Source organism: Homo sapiens (assembly GCF_000001405.40).
Source record: "Homo sapiens chromosome 14 unlocalized genomic scaffold, GRCh38.p14 Primary Assembly HSCHR14_CTG1_UNLOCALIZED".
In the NCBI taxonomy this organism is placed as follows: domain Eukaryota; kingdom Metazoa; phylum Chordata; class Mammalia; order Primates; family Hominidae; genus Homo; species Homo sapiens.
In genome coordinates this window covers 96,557-115,385 of record NT_113796.3, presented here as the reverse complement: position 1 = coordinate 115,385, position 18,829 = coordinate 96,557, and the positions used below count along the sequence as shown (strand labels likewise).

Below are 18,829 nucleotides of genomic sequence, written 5' to 3'. Positions count from 1 at the left end.
ATGGCTGGATAGCAGTTTGGAACAGAAATTTGCTCAAAGAAACTCAGAGCTCAAAACACAAATCCATGGAGCTCTGAAATCCGAGAGAAAATTTACCATGATCCCCAGCTGCTCCGAGAGATCAAAGGACACAAGTGTTACAGAATCTGAGGCGTCACTTTTCTGCCTGAAACCTCTGGCTGGTGGAGCCTTTACCTGTGTTTTGCTTGGGCCCACTGGGTTAGTTCTGTCCACTCAGCTCATGCTAGTGGTCTGGATCCCACACCTGCCAAGGGCGAGCTGGGTACAGAGCAGTGAGGGGTGTGTGAGCAAGCGAGCATGGGATCTGGCCACTGCACACAGCCAAGCATGCCAGCTGCAGTGGGGTGGGCAGCTCCAGGCACAGATGCCAGCTCCCTGTGAGGCTGCAGCTGGACCAGGCCGACTGCAAACAGCTTCCACTGTGGGTATCAGGGAATGCAGTGGCACCCAGAAGCTTGGAGATGCAGGACCTGCAAAGCCCCAAAGAAGGTGTCACAGCCCTGGCTGGGGGAGCTCCTAGGTCTGTGTTCCCTGAAGGGACACAGCTCTTCTCTCCTTCTCTCTTCTCTTCTTCTTGCCTGCAATTTGGCAAGCAAGGAGCGCGTTTCAGCCCTGTTTATGTTACACCTCTTTCAGCCCTGCTAGTTGGCAGGTCCCGAGTTCTTGTCCTGAGTCCAGGAAAAATGAGGTATGTGGACAAGTAGAAGGTGAGCAAGGTGAAGAGGTGCTTTATTGAGCCACAGTACAGCTCAGAGGAGACCTGCAGTGGGTAGTTCCTTTCTGCAGGCAGGTCATCCCAACGTCTGTTCAGCTCTCAGCAGCTGAGAGGAGATGCACGGTGGGTAGCTGTGCCCATAGTGCCCAGGCGTTCGAGCTGAGGAGGGCCTTCTGGCCACTGCTGAGCCACTCTTAGCCCCACCTCACCCTCCCTCCTGTGCTTGCCAGTGCCCAAAGTCTGGAGGGGGCCAAGGTGGCAGGGGGCTGGCATGTCAGCACTGCCCTGAGCTTGCACAAACCGGGCCGTGTTGTGACTGTGCCCGGGTTTGGCCTCAACTTGGATCCGAATTTGGAGTGGGTTCTGGAAGCAGAGGGACGCCAGGTGGCAGGACCAGGTACAACTGAGCCTGCGGGGCAGGGGGGCTTGCTGGGCCTCTGAGAGTGCAGAGATGCCCGGGTTTGCAGTCATGGCTGGATGGCTGCAGCTGTGCCTGGGAGGGCGGGGTTCCTGCCTGATAATTTAGAAGGGACAGGTCTCCCACCCATTCCTGGCTCCCACCAGCTTTGAGGAGTGCACAGCCCCAGCCACTCCTCCCCACTGCAGCCAGTGTCTCCATAGCAACTGCTCCACGTGGGCCACTGCTGCCATCACAAACGGGTCCTTTCAGGTTCCTTCCTTGTACCTCAGCACTCTGGGGGTCATTAGAAGCCTTAGCAACACTGCTCACCACAGTATAGCTCCAGAGGCCCTAGCAGTCCTGCTCCCACAGATCCCACTTCTGACACCATCTATTAAAAGAAAATCTTCAGCTGAATTAAATTTAAAGGAACTTAATTGAGCAATGAATGATTCACGAATCAGGCAGCCCCCAGAATCACAGCAGATTTGGTGAGACTCCAGCACAGACACATGGTGGAAGATTTATAGACAATAAAGGGAACATGATGTACAAAAATCTGAAGTGAGGAGTGAGGTCTAGAAGCAACTGGGTCCATTACAGTTCTCAGCAGTGAGGTCCAGAAACAACTGGACTGGTTACAGTGCTCAGCATTTGCCTTATTTGAACACAGCTGAACACTCAGCAGTGTGTGAGTGGCAGAAGTTTGGCTGTTGGGATTGGCCACGACTCAGCTACTGTTTTAGGCACATACTCCTAAGTTAGGTTTTCAGTCTTTCTACCTATTAAGTTAGGTTGCAGTTTGTCCACAGGGACTCAAATCTAGAAGTACAGAGTCCTTCCCAGGCCATATTTAGTTCACTGTAACAGTTCCTATTATGACCTCACTGACAGTTCTTTTTCTCTGAATTCTCCTTTCTTCTCAACAGCTTGTCCAAATGTTCCATTGGTCCCTGTTCATCTTGCCCTGCAGTTCTCCTTGACTGATTCAGCCCTTTGTGGTTTGCAGTCCTGTTTCTCTACAGCTTGGACCTCTTCAGTCTTTCCATCATAGGTTTAACTCTCTGTTGAATGCTTCTTTGTAGCTATCCAAATTTACCTTAAGCTCAAAAAATTCGAAGTGAAAGCCACATCCTCTTCTCTTCCCTTATGTGTATGGCATTACTACCGTGCAGCCAGTGACCCAAAATGGGATTTCTTCTGGGCTTTTCTTGCTTAGATTCAGGCTCATCTGGTGTCAAGCCTTGTTACTTTTGTTTCCTTGTTCTTTTATTTTTATTTTTTTTCTTTTGAGACAGAGTTTCGCTCTTGTTGCCCAGGCTAGAGCGCAGTGGTGTGATCTCAGCTCACTGCAGCCTCCACCTCCTGGGTTCAAGCAATTCTCCTGCCTCAGCTCCTGAGTAGCTGGTATTACAGGCATGTGCCACCATGCCCGGCTAATTTTGTATGTTTAGTAGAGATGGGGTTTCTCTGTTTTGATCAGGGTGGTCTCGAACTCCCGACCTCAGGTGATCCGCCCACCTCGGCCTCCCAAAGTGCTGGGATTACAGACGTGAGCCACCGTGCCTGGCCTGCTTGTTGTTTTCATCTCATCCTGATTTCCGAATACAGGAGAGAAGCTGAGTTGGTGTTCACTAACAAGCACAGAAGCTTTGTTATATTTACAGTGTCATTCTTGGCAAAACCTGAAGGGTGTGTTTGTGGGGTGATGAGGTTCAGTCACCTGTGACCTGTGCATCTGGCCAGCACTGTGGTGACATCCTTAGGAATCCATGGGGAGAGAGAAAGCATTCAGGAGTTAGTGGGTCACATTTGACAAGGGCCAATAAAGAAATATGCAAAGACAAAAAACAAGAAGAACATTGTCATATTTTCTACCTTTTGTTTATATAAATTTATGTCAATGATTTTAGCTTATGTTAATATGCAATGTATATAATATGCTAACATTTACAATATATGTTTATAGTTTAAACATTTCTGTCATATTTTCAGATTCTTTAAAGATTATATTACGCTTCCTATTTCAGATAGCTGCTTAAAATGAGTAAGGAAAAACGGATGTGTGCATCAGTTCCAACTGTTTATGTACTAAAACTAGTTGATATCTTGGTTAAGAACAAAAAGTGACAACCTAATTAACTGAAAATTTTAAGTGGGCAATTATAGTTTTAGCTTTAACGTAAAATATTAACTATGCTCCATTCTTGCATTTTTAACCTAATACTCAATATAAATCACCACATGCCATGTTTCAGATCAAGGTTTTACTTGGGATCTCTCATGAGTTTTTCAAGGTTTTAATTATCTGCAATGTAACAATGTACCAGTAACCTTACTGGCTTAAACCAGGAATTTATTCTTTTTACATGTCACAATTTTCTGGGTCAAGACACTGGACAGGGCAGTGTGGGTTGGCTGCTTCGTGATGTCCCTGGTCTCATCTGGGAGGACTCTAGTGGCTGGGGACATGAAGCAGGCACCCAGAAGGACTCTAGTGGCTGGGGACATGGAGCAGGCACCGAGCCCTCTCTTTGTGGCCAGCACGGACTTCCTCCCAGTCTGGCAGTGTCAGTTACTCAGGTTTGTCTGGCTTCTCCCAGGGTGTGTGTCCAAGAGGCCCAGGCAGAAGCTGTAAGGCCTCTCATGATCATCCCTCAGAAGTCCCAGAGCATCTATCCTGCCACACTGTCCAGTCATACTCATCACTGAGACCAGCCATGATTCAAGGGGGGAAGGTGATTAGATTCCACCTCTTGATGAGAAGAATAGTAGGAACCTGCAGCAGTCTTTAATAAACCACAGTTTGTCCTCTGGCCACAAACTATTAACGTTTCTCCCACATGCAAATTATGCTTTGCCCCTCTCAAGAGTCCCAGAATGGTTTTCCTTATGGCACTGGCTGGTAGCCCAACTGAATCCTGAATCAGGTTGTGGTGGCCTGTCATCTGCACCCACACACACTCAGCCGCAGTGAGGACTGAATCAAGTTATGGTGGCCTGTCATCTGCCCCCCCACACACAGCCACAGTGGGGACTGAATCAGGTTGTTGTGACCTATCATCTGTGCCCACACACTCAGCCGCAGTGAGGGGACTGGTGTGAAAACAGTCAGCATTTCCCTTTAGAAGCTGTTGGTGGGAGGCAGGAGGGAGGTGCTGCCCTGCAGGCCCCGTCTAACAGCTGGTCATTCCCATGGGGCGCCTGTTACAGTTCTGTGATTAGTGCCCAGTACGGGTCCCTGAGAATGGCGCCCAGTCCTTGTCCCTGAGAACGGCGTTTGTGTCCTTTTACTCCTGCCTCTGGGCTTTTGTCATTCTCCATGTTCTTTTTCCTTCAGTGCCTGGGTTGCCGTTGACCAACTTTCTCTGCCTTTTTCTTATGGTCAATAGGGTATTCAATGGCTTCTTTTTAATTTTTTTCCTTTTCTTTTTTTTTTTCTTTGGCCTTTTGAGACAAGAAATTATTTCTTTATATTTTCTCTAAATTTTGTTTGAAAAGTGAACTTCCTTCTTTAGATCATGTCCCTCTCCTGTCATATTTATTCAATGACAGTTAGGGTAGGCTGGTAGCACTTTCCATGTTCTTCCCAGATGTCTCCTTAGGCAGATCCCTGAGATGGTGCAGTGCCCTTTCGGTTTCCATGTTGTGGCTGTAGTTTTCTCACAGTCCCTCAGCACATAACTCTCAGGCCTTTTCCCCACTTTCCAATGACATTTTCTCACCGTCCTTCAGGCACTGACCAAGAGTCTTGATGCCCTTCCAGGTTGCATGAATGGTCTCCTTGAGGCCCAGTTACAGGTCAGCCTCACAGTCGTGGCACATATTGTAGCTTCTGATTACCACAGCGGCTCATTTCCAGCTACCATATTCTGTTCCAGTTATCTATTCTGAAGAAACCATCCCCAAAACTTGGCAGCTTAAAACAACTCATTATTACCTGTTTTTTGGCTTAGAGAGTCTTGGTGGCCAGCTCATCTCACACACAGTTGCAGCCAAGCTGGATTGTGTGAAAGCACAGTGGGGTGGTGTGCAGGGTGGCTCACTAGTGGTTGGGAGTGGATGTTGCTGAAGGCTCACTAGTGGTTGGGAGTCGGTGTTGCTGGAGGGTCAGTGGGGGATGTCAATGTGTGTAGCTAGTCACGGACTGGCCATGTGGTTTCCATCATGAGGTCTCAGGGGAGTGGGATTTCCTGCCTGGTGACTGGCTTTCTCCTGGATAAGTGTTCTGTTTTCTCAGCCTGGCTTCTGAAGTCCCCAAATACCACCTTTGTCACCTTCTGTTGGCCAAGCAAGTTAGTAGTCTGGGCAAGGTTTAAGGGGAATTGGTTCTCACAGAGAGAGGAGCAGGAAAGAAGTTGTCACCTTTAGTCTACCAGAAATATGATTTTTATAACAAGTTTGTTCCAAATACATTCCAGTTCCCCTTGTGAATACTTTTTTGACTCACAGGGTATTTCAAAGTTTATTACTTGGTTTTCAGACATTTGAGGCTTTTCTGGATATCAATTTGTTGTTGGTTTCTAATTTAATTTCAGGTGTTCAGACAACATACTTTGTATACTATGTCATGCTTGAACATTTTCTCAATTGATCAACATACAGTCTATCTTGGTACTGCCAAGTACCATTTGGGTCAGGATTTTGTCATTTAGATCCGTATTTTTCCTATATTTTTATCTGGTTGTTCCGTCAGTTACTGAGAGAGCAGTATTAATTCACCAGCTATAATTTTGGATTGTCAATTTCCTGCTTTTGTTCTGTTGTTTTTGATTCACATAATTTGAGGCTCTGTGTGTGAGAGTACTTTGTGTGCACTTTGAGGCACAATTTATAATTGTAACATCACCCTCTCTGATTCTTTTATTTTTATGAAATTACCTTTTTTATTTCTGGTGATATATTTTGTTCTGGAGCCTCTTTCATCTAGTGTTAACGTCTCTGTTGAAGCTTTTTATGATTAGTGTCTGGATAGCATATTTTTATGATTAGTGTCTGCATAGCATATTTTTTCTCATACTTTGTGTCTTTGTATTTAAATTGTGTCTCTGTGGATGCCATATTGTTGGGTCTTGCTTTCCTCTCAGGTCTGGCAGTCTCTGTCTTAAGTAGAGTATTTGTCCAGTTACATTGTAACTAATCATTGCTAAGGTTGGATTTAGGTCTGCCATTTTTCTACTTATTTTCTATTTGTTTTTTTTTTTTTTTTTTTAAGACAGGGTCTTGCTCTGTCACTGAGACTGTAGTGCAATGGTGCAATGTTGGCTCACTGCAACCTCTGCCTCCCAGGCCCAACCAATCCTCACTGGAGCCCACTGAGTAGCTGGGACTACAGGCACATGGAAACACACCTGGCTAATTTTTATATTTTTTGTAGAGATAGGGTTTTGCCATGTTGCACAGGCTGGTCTTGAACTCCTGAGCTCAAGCAATCTACCCACCTTGGCCTCCCAAAGTGTTTGGATGACAGGCATGAGCCACCATGTCTGGCCTTCGTCTGTGTTTTGATCTTCTATATATTCTTTCCTAACTTCTTTTGGGTTAAATATTTCTAAATATTCCAGTTTGATTAATATTTTGGCTTTTTGAAATAATTTTTTATAGGCTGGGCATGGTGGCTTATGCTCGTAATCTCAGCTCTGTGGGAGGCCAAGGGAGGTGGATTGCTTGAGCCCAGGAGGTTGAGACCAGCCTGGGCATCATGGCAAAACCCTCTCTACAAAAAAACCAAACCAAAATTTAGCCTGACATCTTGGTGTGCACCTGTAGTCCCAACTATTCGGGAGGCTGAGATGGGAGGGTTGCTTGAGCCTGGGAGGTTGAGGCTGCAATGAGCTGTGATCATGCCATTGCACTCCTGCCAGGGCAACAGAGTAAGACCCTGTGTCAAAAAAGATCATTTTTTATAAATAATTTATTATTTAGAATTTTCGTAACAAACACATACCTTAAAATTTACCATCGTAACCAGTTGTAGGTATACAGTTTTGTAGAGTTAAGAATATTTACGGTGCTGTGTAGCAGATTTCTAGATTTTTTTTTTATCTTGGAAAATTCTATACCCATTCAACAACTATTAATTTCCCCCTCCTTCCACCTCCTGGCAAGTACTATTCTACTTTGTGTTTCTAAAAATTTGGCTTATATACCTAGGGTTATATAATATTTGTTGTTTTGTAAGTAGGTTCCATGTTATGTGTCAGATGTGTCACGATTTTCTTCCTTTCTATGGCTGAATAATATTTCTTCATATATATATTATATATATATTACATATATAATATATATATATATATCATGTATATATATATGCTTTTGTTTATCCACCTATTTCTGGACGGACGTTTTGGTTTCTTCCACCTTGTGGCTGTGTAATGCTGCTGTGAACTTAGGTGTGCACATATCTGTTTGAGGTCCTGCTACTAGTTATTCTGTCTCTGTAATAGTTGGATGGCTGGATCATATGGTCATTTTATTTTATTTTTTTTGAGGAGCCAGTTCATATTTCCACCAACAGTGTTCAAGGGTTACAGTTTCACCTGCGCTTGTTACTTTCTGTTGGGTTTGAAGTGATGTCCCATTGTGGTTTCTTTTTGCATTTCTCTAATGACTAGTGATGTTACACATCTTCTCATATATCTCATGTATCTGTTGGCTATTTGTATATCATCTTTGCATCTTTGGATAAATGTTGTTTGTCCATTTTTTAATCATTTTATTTTGTTGTTGGGTTGTAGCGGGGTTTTTGTCATGATCATTCATTTATCTCACAGTTCATTCTCATTACTTGGGCCAGGGTCATGATGGTTCATTATCTCTCAGTTCATCCTCATTACGTTGGGCAAACAGTCATGCTGCAGGGTATAGATTATGTTATTCTGTTACTTTCAGGTAGAATTGGGGTCTAGGTTATAATTGTTTCTAAGTTTAGATTCTGAATGAGAATCAGCAGAGGTAGACCACCACTGCTGGGGCCTGGGGATTGCTGGGAAAAAGGCAGGAAACAAATACAGACCTGACCATGGAGGGTTTGTGTTTCATGGCTCCCATCTGGGTACCCAAGGAACCTACACGTAGCTCGTGTGTGGAGAGCCTACATTGCCCACTCAAAGCAATTGAGGATGGAACAGTCTTGGGGCTGGAGCTCATTATTTGGAATGATAACCACATCTGCACAGAGAGGACCTGATAAGATGTTGTCCTTCCATGTATATCTGGGAATCCTGTGTAGGGTCTCTCTGTAAGGACAGGAGCAGTGTTGGCTCCTTGGCCTCTAGTTAGCCTCACGAGTAGTCTAGTAAAGGCTTTGCCAACTTGTCACCATCTGTGGATATTCTGGCCAGCTCTTGTTTTCACCCTACTGACTTCTTCAGACACTAGGCTTTTGCTTCAGACCATTCATGGTTTTTCTTCCTCTTCAAATCAGTAATCAATAAATCCTCTTCAAATCAATAAATTTCCACTCCTTTAGGAAACTCTGATCTTCTGGTCATGCCAAGGTTTAATTAACTGGTTTAATTGTTTTTCTGTTTTCTTGGTTTCTTTTTCCTTCTTCCTGGGGGTTTCTAGTAATTTTAGTTTGATGTCTCACTTTCTCCATTTTTTATTTCTTAGTTTTCTTCTGTGATTATTTTCACTGCAGCTGCAGGGCCTAATCCTGGGTTGGCAGATAACTAGCACTTACTCTGCCCTAATTGGAATCCGGGAGAGATAGGAGGTGCTCTAGTGTGAAAATGTGTTTGCTCCTCTCTGCTTCTGGTAGTCTCTCTGTAGGAGTACTTTACGTATTCTGAATGTTCACTTCTTATGAGATACATGATGTGCAACTATAGGTTGAATGTCTCTGATCCAAAAATCTGAAATCCCAAATGCTCCAAAGTCTGAAACTTTTTGAGTGCCAACATGACACTCAAAGGAAATGCTTATTGGAGCATCGCAGACTCAGGTGTTTGAATTCGAGATGCTCAACCAGTAAGAATAATGCAAATATTACAAAATCTGAAACACATCCCAAGCATTTCAAATAAGGGACACTCAACTGGTATTTTCTTTTATTCTACAGTTTGCCTTTTACCCTGTTGGTTGTGACCTTTGTGGTACAGAAGTTTTTAGGTTTGATATATTTTTGCTTTTACTGCCTGAGCTTTTAATGTCATATCCTAAAAATTATTGACAAATTCATCATCATAAAGCATTTTCCAAATTTGTTTTCCCTAGGAGTTTGATAGTTCTAGTTTTACTTTTGGGTTTATAATTCACTTTGAATTAATTTTAACGTGGTGTAAGGTAAGAGTCCAACTTCATTATTTTGCATGTAGATATACAATTTTCCCAACACCATTTGTTGAAGAAACTGTCCTTCGCCATTGAGTGGTCTTGGCATCCTTGTGGAAGATCATCAGACCATATATGCCAGGGTTGGTTTCTGAGGTCTCTGTTGTGTTGGTCCATAAGTGTGTCAAGTATGTCTTTACGCCATGACCACTTTTTTTTTGGCTTATTGCAGTTTTGTAATTGTTTTGAGACCTTTAATTTTGTTCTGCTTCAAGATTGATTTGCCTATTCATGGGCCCTGGAGATTCCATATGAATTTTAGGATAGGTTTTTCTGTTTATCAAAAATGTCATTGGAATCTTTATAAGGATTGTATTGAACCTAGGTCACTTCGAGTAGTGTTGACATCATTCCAAGATGAAATCATCTAATCTGCAAACCCACCTTTTCTTTTCATTTATTTGTGTTTAATTTCTTTCAACAGTGTTTTATAGTTTTCTGTGTTCAAATCTTTTGCCCTTTTGGTTAAGCTTATTTTTAATTTTTATAATGCTGTTGTAAATGTAATACTTTTTTTTTTTTTTGAGATGGAGTCTTGCTCTGTCTCCCAGGCTGGAGTGCAGTGGCACTATCTCAGCTCACTGCAACCTGCGCCTTCTTTATTCAAGCGATTCTCCAACCGCAGCCTCTCAAGTACCTGGGATCACAGGTGCGCGCCAGCACGCCCAGCTAATTTTTTGGTATTTTTAGTTGAGACAGGGTTTCTCCATGTTGACAAGGTAAGTCTTGAACTTGTGACCTCAGGTGATCTGCCCGCCTCAGCCTCCCAAACTGCTGGGATTGCAGGCATGAACCACTGCACCCGGCCAAATGTCATTCTTTTTAAAAATTTCTTTTCTTTTGTTTTATCTTTCTTTTTTTTCTTTCTCTCTCTTTCTTTCCTTTCTTTCTTTTCTTTGAGATGGCGTCTCAGTTTCCTAAGCTGGAGCGCAGTGGCACAATCTCAGCTGACTGCAACCTCCACCTTCCAAGTTCAAGCAATTCTCCTGCTTCAGCCTCCCATGTAGCTGGGACTACAGGTGTCTGCCACTACGTCCAGCTAATTTTTGTATTTTTAATAGAGACAGAGTTTTACTATTTATTTTAGAGATGGGTTTGGCCCAGCTGGTCACGAACTCCTGACCTCAGGTGGTCTACCCGCCTTGGCCTCCCAAAGTGCTGAGATTATAAGTGTGAGCCACTGCACCTGGCCTCTCTTTTTAAAATTTTATTTGCAGATTGTTCATTGTTAGTTTATGGAAATGCAACTGACTTGTGTGTGTTACTGTATCCTGAAACTTTGTTGAATTTCATTATTTTACCAATATTTTGGGAATTTCAGGATTTTTACCCATTACATCCTGTTGTCTGTGAACAAAATTTTGTACTTTTTCTTTTCCAATTTGCATCCTTTTTATTACTTTCTCTTGACTCATTATTCTGAGTAGAAATTCCAGTACTGTGATGAATAGACGTGGCAGGAAGAGATGTTGCTATCTTATTCCTGATCCTAGAGGAAAAGATTTTAGTCTTTCACCATTGAGTATGATGTTAGCTGTGAGCTTTTCATGTATAATCTTTATTTACTGAGGAGTTTCCATATATTACTAATTCTTTGAGTGTTTTTATTACAAAAGGTGTTCATCTGGCTCTGGAACCAGATAAATGTTGACCTGATAGAATGGATTGGAATGTTCCCTTCTGGTTTTTGAACATTTTTGGAATATTTTGCAGAGGATTGGCATTAATTCTTCTTGAAATGTTTGGTAAAATTTTCCAGTGAAGTTATCTGGACCTGGAATTTTCTTTTTGGTGGGGTTTTTGATTACTGGTTGAATCTTCTTACTAGTTACAAGTCTCTTTGGATTTTTTATTTCTCCGTGATGCAGTATGGTGGTTTGTGTTTCTAGGAATTTATAAATTTATTCTAGGTTGCCCAGTTTTGTGGCATATGGTTGCTCACATTAGTCTCTTGTAATCTTTTTCATTTCTGTGGCATCTGTTGTACTGTCACCTATTTTATTCATGATTTTAGTATTTGAGATTTCTCTTTTTTCTTAATATAGCTGTGAGTTTTAAAATTTTTATTGATCTTTAAAAAAACAAACTCATTGTTTTTTTTCCTTTTTTTTCTGGTCTTATTCTGCTTATCTCTGCTCTAATCTGTTATTTTCTTCCTTTTGCTTGGTTTGTCATTAGTTTTTTTTTCCCCCCTTCAGGTGTAATGTTAGGTTATTGATTTGAGATCTTTCTTCTTTTTAATTTAAGCACCTGCAGCTATAAGCTTCCCTTTAGCAAGGGTTTGAGATATTTCTTCTTTTTAATTTAAGCATCTGCAGCTGTAAGCTTCCCTTTAGCATGGGTTTGAGATCTTTCTTCTTTTTAATTTAAGCATCTGCAGCTGTAAGCTTCCCTTTAGCACTGCCTTTGTTGCCTCCTCCTGAGTTTGGGTATGTCATGGTTTCGTTTTCATTTGCTTAAACATTTTTTGTCCTATTGTAATATAATTGTGTTGTTTTTAATAAAGGTAATTAATGAAACACATAATGAATTGTGCTTCTGTTTTAATAATATTTTAAGCATTCTTAACTCAGAAATGTAAATTTTAGAAAAAAATTCCAGGCCAGGCACAGTGGCTCACACCTGTAATCCCAGCACTTGAGGAGGTCGAGGCGGGAGGATCATCTGAGGTCAGGAGTTGGAGACCACCCTGGCCAACATGGTGAAACCCTGTCTTTACTAAAAATAGAAAAAAATATATAAAAGTTAGCTGGGTGTCATGGCGGGTGCCTGTAATCCCAGCTACTCTGGAGGCTGAGGCAGGAGAATCACTTGAATCTGGGAGGTGGATGTTGCAGTGAGCTGAGATTGCACCACTGCACTCCAGCCTGGGTGACAGAATGAGAGTCCGTCTCAAAAAAAAAGAAAAAAGAAAAAATTTCAGACATATTTATTTGTATTTCAATTTAGAAACTATGATCTCCTAAGTGTATTGACACAGCAACCTGACATAAAGATAAAGAATAATAAGCATATAACAAAATGGAAACTTGCAAATACCTGTTTTTTATTAATTTTTAATTATATATATTTAAAAATTGCCAGGTGCAGTGGCTTACACCTGTAATCCCAGCACTTTGGGAGGCTGAGGTGGGCAGATCACATGAGGTCAGGAGTTTGAGACCAGCCTGGCCAACATGGTGAAACTTCATCTCTATTAAAAATCAAAAAATTAGCCAGGCTTGATAGCATGCATCTGTAGTCCCAGCTACTCGGGAGACTGAGTCAGGAGAATTGCTTGAACATGGGAGGCGAGGTTGCAGTGAGCCAAGATAGTGCCACTGCACTCCAGCCTGGGTGACAGAGTGAGGCTCTGTCTCAAAAAAATAAAAATTGTCTGGCACGGTGGCTCACACCTGTAATCGCAGCACTTTGGGAAGCTGAGGCAGGCAGATCACGTCAGGAGATCAAGACCATCCGGGCTAACACTGTGAAACGCCATCTCTACTAAAAATACAAAAAATTAGCCGGGCGTGGTGGCAGGTGCCTGTAGTTCCAGCTCCTCTGGAGTTTGAGGCAGGAGAATGGTGTGAACCTGGGAGGTGGAGCTTGCAGTGAGCCAAGATTGCACCACTGGACTCCAGCCTGGGTGACAGAGTGAGACTCTGTCTCAAAAAAATAAAATAAAGTAAAACTAAGGTGTGGTTGACATACAAAAATTACACATATTTAATATATACCTTGTGTGTGTGTGTGTGTGTGTGTGTGTGTTATGGAGGTTTTACTCATGTTGCCCAGGCTGGAGTGCAGTGACACGATCTCAGCTAACTGCCACCTCCGCCTCCCAGGTTCAAGCAATTCTCCTGCCTCAGCCTCCTGAGTAGCTGGGATCACAGGCGTGCGCCCCCACGCCCGGCTAATTTTTGTATTTTTTTAGTAGAGACAGAGTTTCACCATGTTGGCCAGGCTGGGCTCGAACGCCTGACCTCAGATGATCCACCTGCCTCGGCCTCCCAAAGTGCTGGGATTACAGGCGTGTGACACCGAATATATACATCTTAATGAGTATAGAGATAAATATTCGCCTCAGGACTCATCACAACAAATAATACCGTAAACTTGACCATCACCCCCCATATATTTCTCATTCTCACCCTTTTTAAAAAATGAGACCGGGAGTGGTGGCTCACGCCTGTAATCCCAGCACTTTGGGAGGCCAAGGCAGGTGGATCACGAGGTCAGGAGATCAAGATCATCCTGGCTAACTCAGTGAAACCCCGTTTCTACTAAAAATACAGAAAATTAGCCAGGCGTGATGGCGGGCACCTGTAGTCCCAGCTACTCAGGAGACTGAGGCAGGATAATGGTGTGAACTCGGGAGGCAGAGCTTGCAGTGAGCCGAGATCGTGCCACTGCACTCCAGCCTGGGCAACAGAGTATGACTCCGTCTCAAAAAAAAAAAAAAAAAAATGAGATGACCATTTCACCTAAGATATACCCTCTTAAGTATTTTTTTAAGTGTACAATACAGGACGGCCATGCATCAGAGATATATGTGGGTTTGGTTCCAGACCACTGCAATAAAGTGTTATACAATTTCTTTTGGTTTCCCAGTGCATGTAAAAGTATGTTTATACTGTGCTGTATAAAGTGTGCAATAACATATGTCTACAAAGTATGCACACTTTAATTTACAAATACTTTATTGTTAACAAGTGCTAACAGTCATCTGAGCCTTCAGAAAGCTGCAATCTTTTTGTGTGTGTGTGACAGGGTTTTACTCTGTGGCTCAGGCTGGAGTAATTGCAACCTCAACCTCATGCTCAATCAAACCCCCACCTCAGACTCCTGACTAGCTGGGACTACAGGTGCATGCCACCGTGTCCAGCTAATTTTTGTATTTTTTTCTTTGTAGAGATGGGGTTTTGCTATGTTGCCTTGACGTCCTGGGCTCAAGCAATCCACCCACCTTGGCCTCCCAAGGTGTTGGGATGACAGGTGTGAGCCACTGCACCTGGCCAAGTTTCAGTCTTCTTACTGATGGAGGGTCTTACGTTAATGTAAGGTGGTGGTTGCTGAGCGTTGGGGTGGCTGTGGCAATTTCTTAAAATAAGACAACGTTGAAGTTTGCTGTGTCAAGTGACTCTCCCTTTCACAAAAGAATTAACTGTAGCATACGATGATAGCTTTTTACCCACAGTAGAACTTTCAAAATTGAATTCAATGCTGTCAAACCTTCATACTGCTGTACCAACTAAGTTTATGTATTATCGTAAATCATTGGGCTCAATCCTGTCAAGCCTTCCTTCTGCTGTACCAAGTTTATTTTAAATCTGTTGTCATCTCAACATTGTTTACACTGTCTTCACCACGAGTAGATTTCATCTCAAGAAACCACTTTCTTTGCTCATCCGTGGAAGCAACTCATCCTCTCACGTTTTCTCCACAGGCTGCTGCAGTCTCGCCAGATCTTCAGGCTCTGTCTCTGATTCTAGTGCTCTTGTTATTTCCACCATATCTGCAGTTACTTCCTCCACAGAAGTCGTGAACCCCTGTGTCATCAGTGAGGGTTGGAATAATCTTCCCAACTTCTCTCTCTCTCTCTTTTATTTTTTTGAGATGAAGTCTTGCCTGGGCTGGAGTGCAGTGATGCGATCTCAGCTCACTGCAACCTCCACCTCCCGTGTTCAAACAATTCTCCTGCCTCAGCCTCCCAAGTGTTTGGGATTACAGTCACCCCCGACCAGGCCCAGCTAATTTTTTTGTTGTTTATAGTATAGACAGGATTTCACTATGTTGGCCAGGCTGGTCTCAAATTCCTGACCTCATGATCCACGTGCCTTGGCCTCCCAAAGTGCTGGGATTACAGGCGTGAGCCACCAAGCCCAGCCCCAACTTCTCCTAATGTTGCTATTTTGATCTTCTTTTTTTTAAATCATGAATGTTCTCAATGGCATCTAGAATGGTGAATCCTTTCCAGTAGGTTTTCAATTATTTTGCCCAGATCCATCAAAGGAATCACTTTCTAGAGAAGCTATAGCTTTATGAAATATATTTTTTAAGTGATAAGACTTGAAATTTGAAATTATTCTTTGATCCAAGGGCACCAGAATGAATGTTGGGTTAGTAGGCATGAAAACAATATTCAGCTCTTTATACATCTCTGTAAAAGCCCTTGAGTACCAGGGGCATTGTCAGTGAGTGGTAATACTTTGAAAGGAATCTTATTTCTTGAGCAGTAGTTGTCGACAGTGGGCTTAAGATATTCAATAAACCATATTTGTAAACCGATAGTCTGTCATCCAGGCTTTCTTCCCATTTGTAGAGTACAGGCAGAGCTGTGTTTTATCGTAATTCTTCAGGGCCCTTGGATTTTCAGAATAGTAAATCATCATTGGTTTCAAGTTAACATCACCAACTGTATTAGGCCTTAACAAAAGAGTCAGCATGTCCTTTGAAGCCTTAAATCCAGGCATCAACTCCTCTCTAGCTGGGAACATCCTGGATGGCATCTCCTTCTAGTAGAAGGCTGTTTTGTCTCCACTGCAAATCTGTTTAGTGTAGCCATCTTAATCAATTATCTTCTAGATAGCTTTCTGCAGCTTTTCCATCAGTACTTGCTGCTTTATCTTGCGCTTTTATGTTATGGAGATGACTTTTTTCCTTAAACCTCAAGAAACAAGCTCTTCTAGCTTCAGACTTTTCTTCTGCAGCTGCCTCACCTCTCTAAGTCTTCATAGAATTGAAGGGAGGCCGGGTGCTGTGGCTGTCACACCTGTAATCCTAGCACTTTGGGAGGCCGAGGCGGGCAGATCACCTGAGGTCAGGAGTTCGACACCAGTCTGACCAACGTGGAGAAACCCCGTCTCTACTAAAAATACAAAAAATTAGCCAGGCGTGGTGGTGCATGCCTGTAATCCCAGCTACTCGGGATGCTGAGGCAGGAGAATGGCTTGAACTTGGGAGGCAGAGGTTGCGATGAGCCAAGATCACGCCATTGTACTCCAGCTTGGGCAAGAAGAATGAATCTCTGTCTCAAAAACAAAGAAAAAAAGTAAAAAGAGAGTTAGGCTTAGGCTTAATGGAATTTTTTTTTGTTTTTTTATCTTCTATCTAGACCAATTAAACTTTCTCCATAACAGCAGCAAGATTGTTTAGCTTTTTATCATTCATGTATTCACTGGAGTAGTACTTTAAATTTCTTTCCAGAACACTTCCTTTGCATTCACAACTTGGCTAAGTGTTTGTTGCATGAGGTCTAGCTACTGGCCTGTCTTGCTTACAGCATGCCTTAATCACTAAGCTTAATTATTTCTTCCTTTTGGTTTAAAGTGACAGACATGCAACTCTTCTTTCACTTGAACATACAGAGGCTATTGTAGGGTTATTAATTGGCCAAATTTTAATATTAATTAAAAGAAGCCTGAGAAAAAGAGAGAGAAAGAGAAATGGCCCATTGGTGGGGCAGTCAGAACAAACGTATTTGTCAATTGTTTGCTGTCTTATCCTGGTGTGATTTGTGGTTCCCAAAACAATGACAACAGTAGCATTAAAGATCACTGATTACAGATCACTATAACAGATTCAATAATAAAAAGCTTAAAATACTGTGAGAATGACCGAAATGTGACACAGAGACGTGAAGTGAGCACGTGCTGTAGGAACAATGGTGCCAGTCAGACCTGCTTATTGCAGGGTGGCCACAAACCTTCAATATGTAAAACACATGGTCACAAAACACAATAAAGCAAAGTGCAGTGAAACAAGATGTGTCTGTGTTTTGATAGACTCTGACAATCTCTATCTTTGAATTGGTACATTCATACCATTAGCATTCAAAGTGATTATTGATATCATTGGATTAATATCTACTATATTTGTTACTGTTTTCTATTCATTCTCCTCAGTCTCCATTCTTTTGTCTACCACTCTTTTTCTGCCTTTTGCAGTTTTCATTGATGATTTTAGATGACTACATTTTCCCTGTCTTTCTTAGCATGTCCTTCTCTTTTTAAAACTTTTTTTTAAGTAGTTGCCACAGAATTTGCAATATACATTTACAACCAATTCAAGTCCACTTTCAAATAACACTATCCCACTATCCCACGAATAAGACTACCTGCTTAACAAAACACCTAATTCCTCAGTAACATTTACAACAAATTCAAGTCCACTTTCAAATAACACTATCCCACTATCCCACAAATAAGACTACCTGCTTAACAAAGAACACACCTAATTCCTCAATATACATTTACAACCAATTCAAGTCCACTTTCAGATAACACTATCCCACTTCATGGGTGACTACCTGCTTAACAAAGAAAACACCTGATTCCTCCCTCCCATCCTTCCATTCCATTCCTTGTATTATTGTTCCTTATTTCACTTGTGTATAAGCACACATAATCTATCTGTGTGTATTTATTATTATCTACAAACTTATTGGTCAGATCAATTATGAATAAATACATGTTTTTATTGTACCACAATTCCTCCCTCCCATCCTTCCATTCCATTCCTTGTATTAGTGTCACTCATTTCAATTGTGTATAAGCATACATAATCTATCTGTGTGTATTTGTTATTGTCTATGAACTTCTTGGTCAGATCAATTAAGAATAAATACATAGGTTTTTATTGTACCACAATTCTTTAATGCTCTTTTTAAAAAAATGTTGATCCAGGTTTCAGTTATATATCTTTTGTTTCCCTCTAAAGAATTTCATTTAACATTTCTTGCAAGACAGGTCTCCTGGCAACAAGTTTCTTGAATTTGTATTTTTCTGAGGAAGGCCTTAATTCTCCTTCACTTTTGAAGGGTGGTTTCAGTGGGTACAGAAACTTAGGTTGGTGGGTTTTTTTCTGTCAACATTTTGAATTTTTCATTTCACTGTCTTCTTGCTTTCACAGTTTCTGCAATGTTGAATGCAGTTCTTATCTTTGTGTCTCTGTAGGTAAGGTGTTTTCTGCCCCACCTCTGGTTTCTTTCAGAGTTTTCCTTTATCTTTTATTTCATATAGTTTGAAAATTATATGTCCAAGTGTAGGTTGTTGGCATTTATTCTGCCTGGTGGTCTCTGAGCTTCCTGGATCTTTGGTTTGGTGTCTGACATTAATACTGGAAGTTCTCAGACATGGTTGTTGCAGAACTTTCTTCTATTTTTTCTCCTCCTGGTATTCTCATTACTCTGTTGCACCTTTTGTAGTTGTCCCACAGTCTTGGATATCATCTTCTGTTCTTTTCAGTGTTTCTTTTCTTTAGTTTTTGAAGTTTCTGATGATAAATCCTCAAGCTCAGAGATTCTTTACTCAGCTGAGTCCAGTCTACTAATAAGCCATCAGAGGTATTCTTCAGTTATTTACCACATTTTTTACCAC

The 18,829-nt window shown here is 41.9% G+C and overlaps 1 long non-coding RNA gene across 7 annotated transcripts in view, besides 1 other annotated feature; it reads left to right on the top strand.

Moving 5' to 3' along the window:
• Positions 1–18,829, top strand: part of LOC105379271 (uncharacterized) — a 114,785-nt gene that overhangs the window by 9,462 nt on the left and 86,494 nt on the right. The window lies entirely within an intron of this gene.
• Positions 1,732–1,943: a silencer, noted in NCBI's record as "fragment chr1:143456259-143456470 (GRCh37/hg19 assembly coordinates)". NCBI's record gives its function as "represses an EF-1alpha promoter that drives an FKBP-Casp9 reporter gene in an ReSE screen in K562 erythroleukemia cells {active_cell/tissue: K562}" and the evidence as "EXISTENCE:reporter gene assay evidence [ECO:0000049][PMID:32094911]".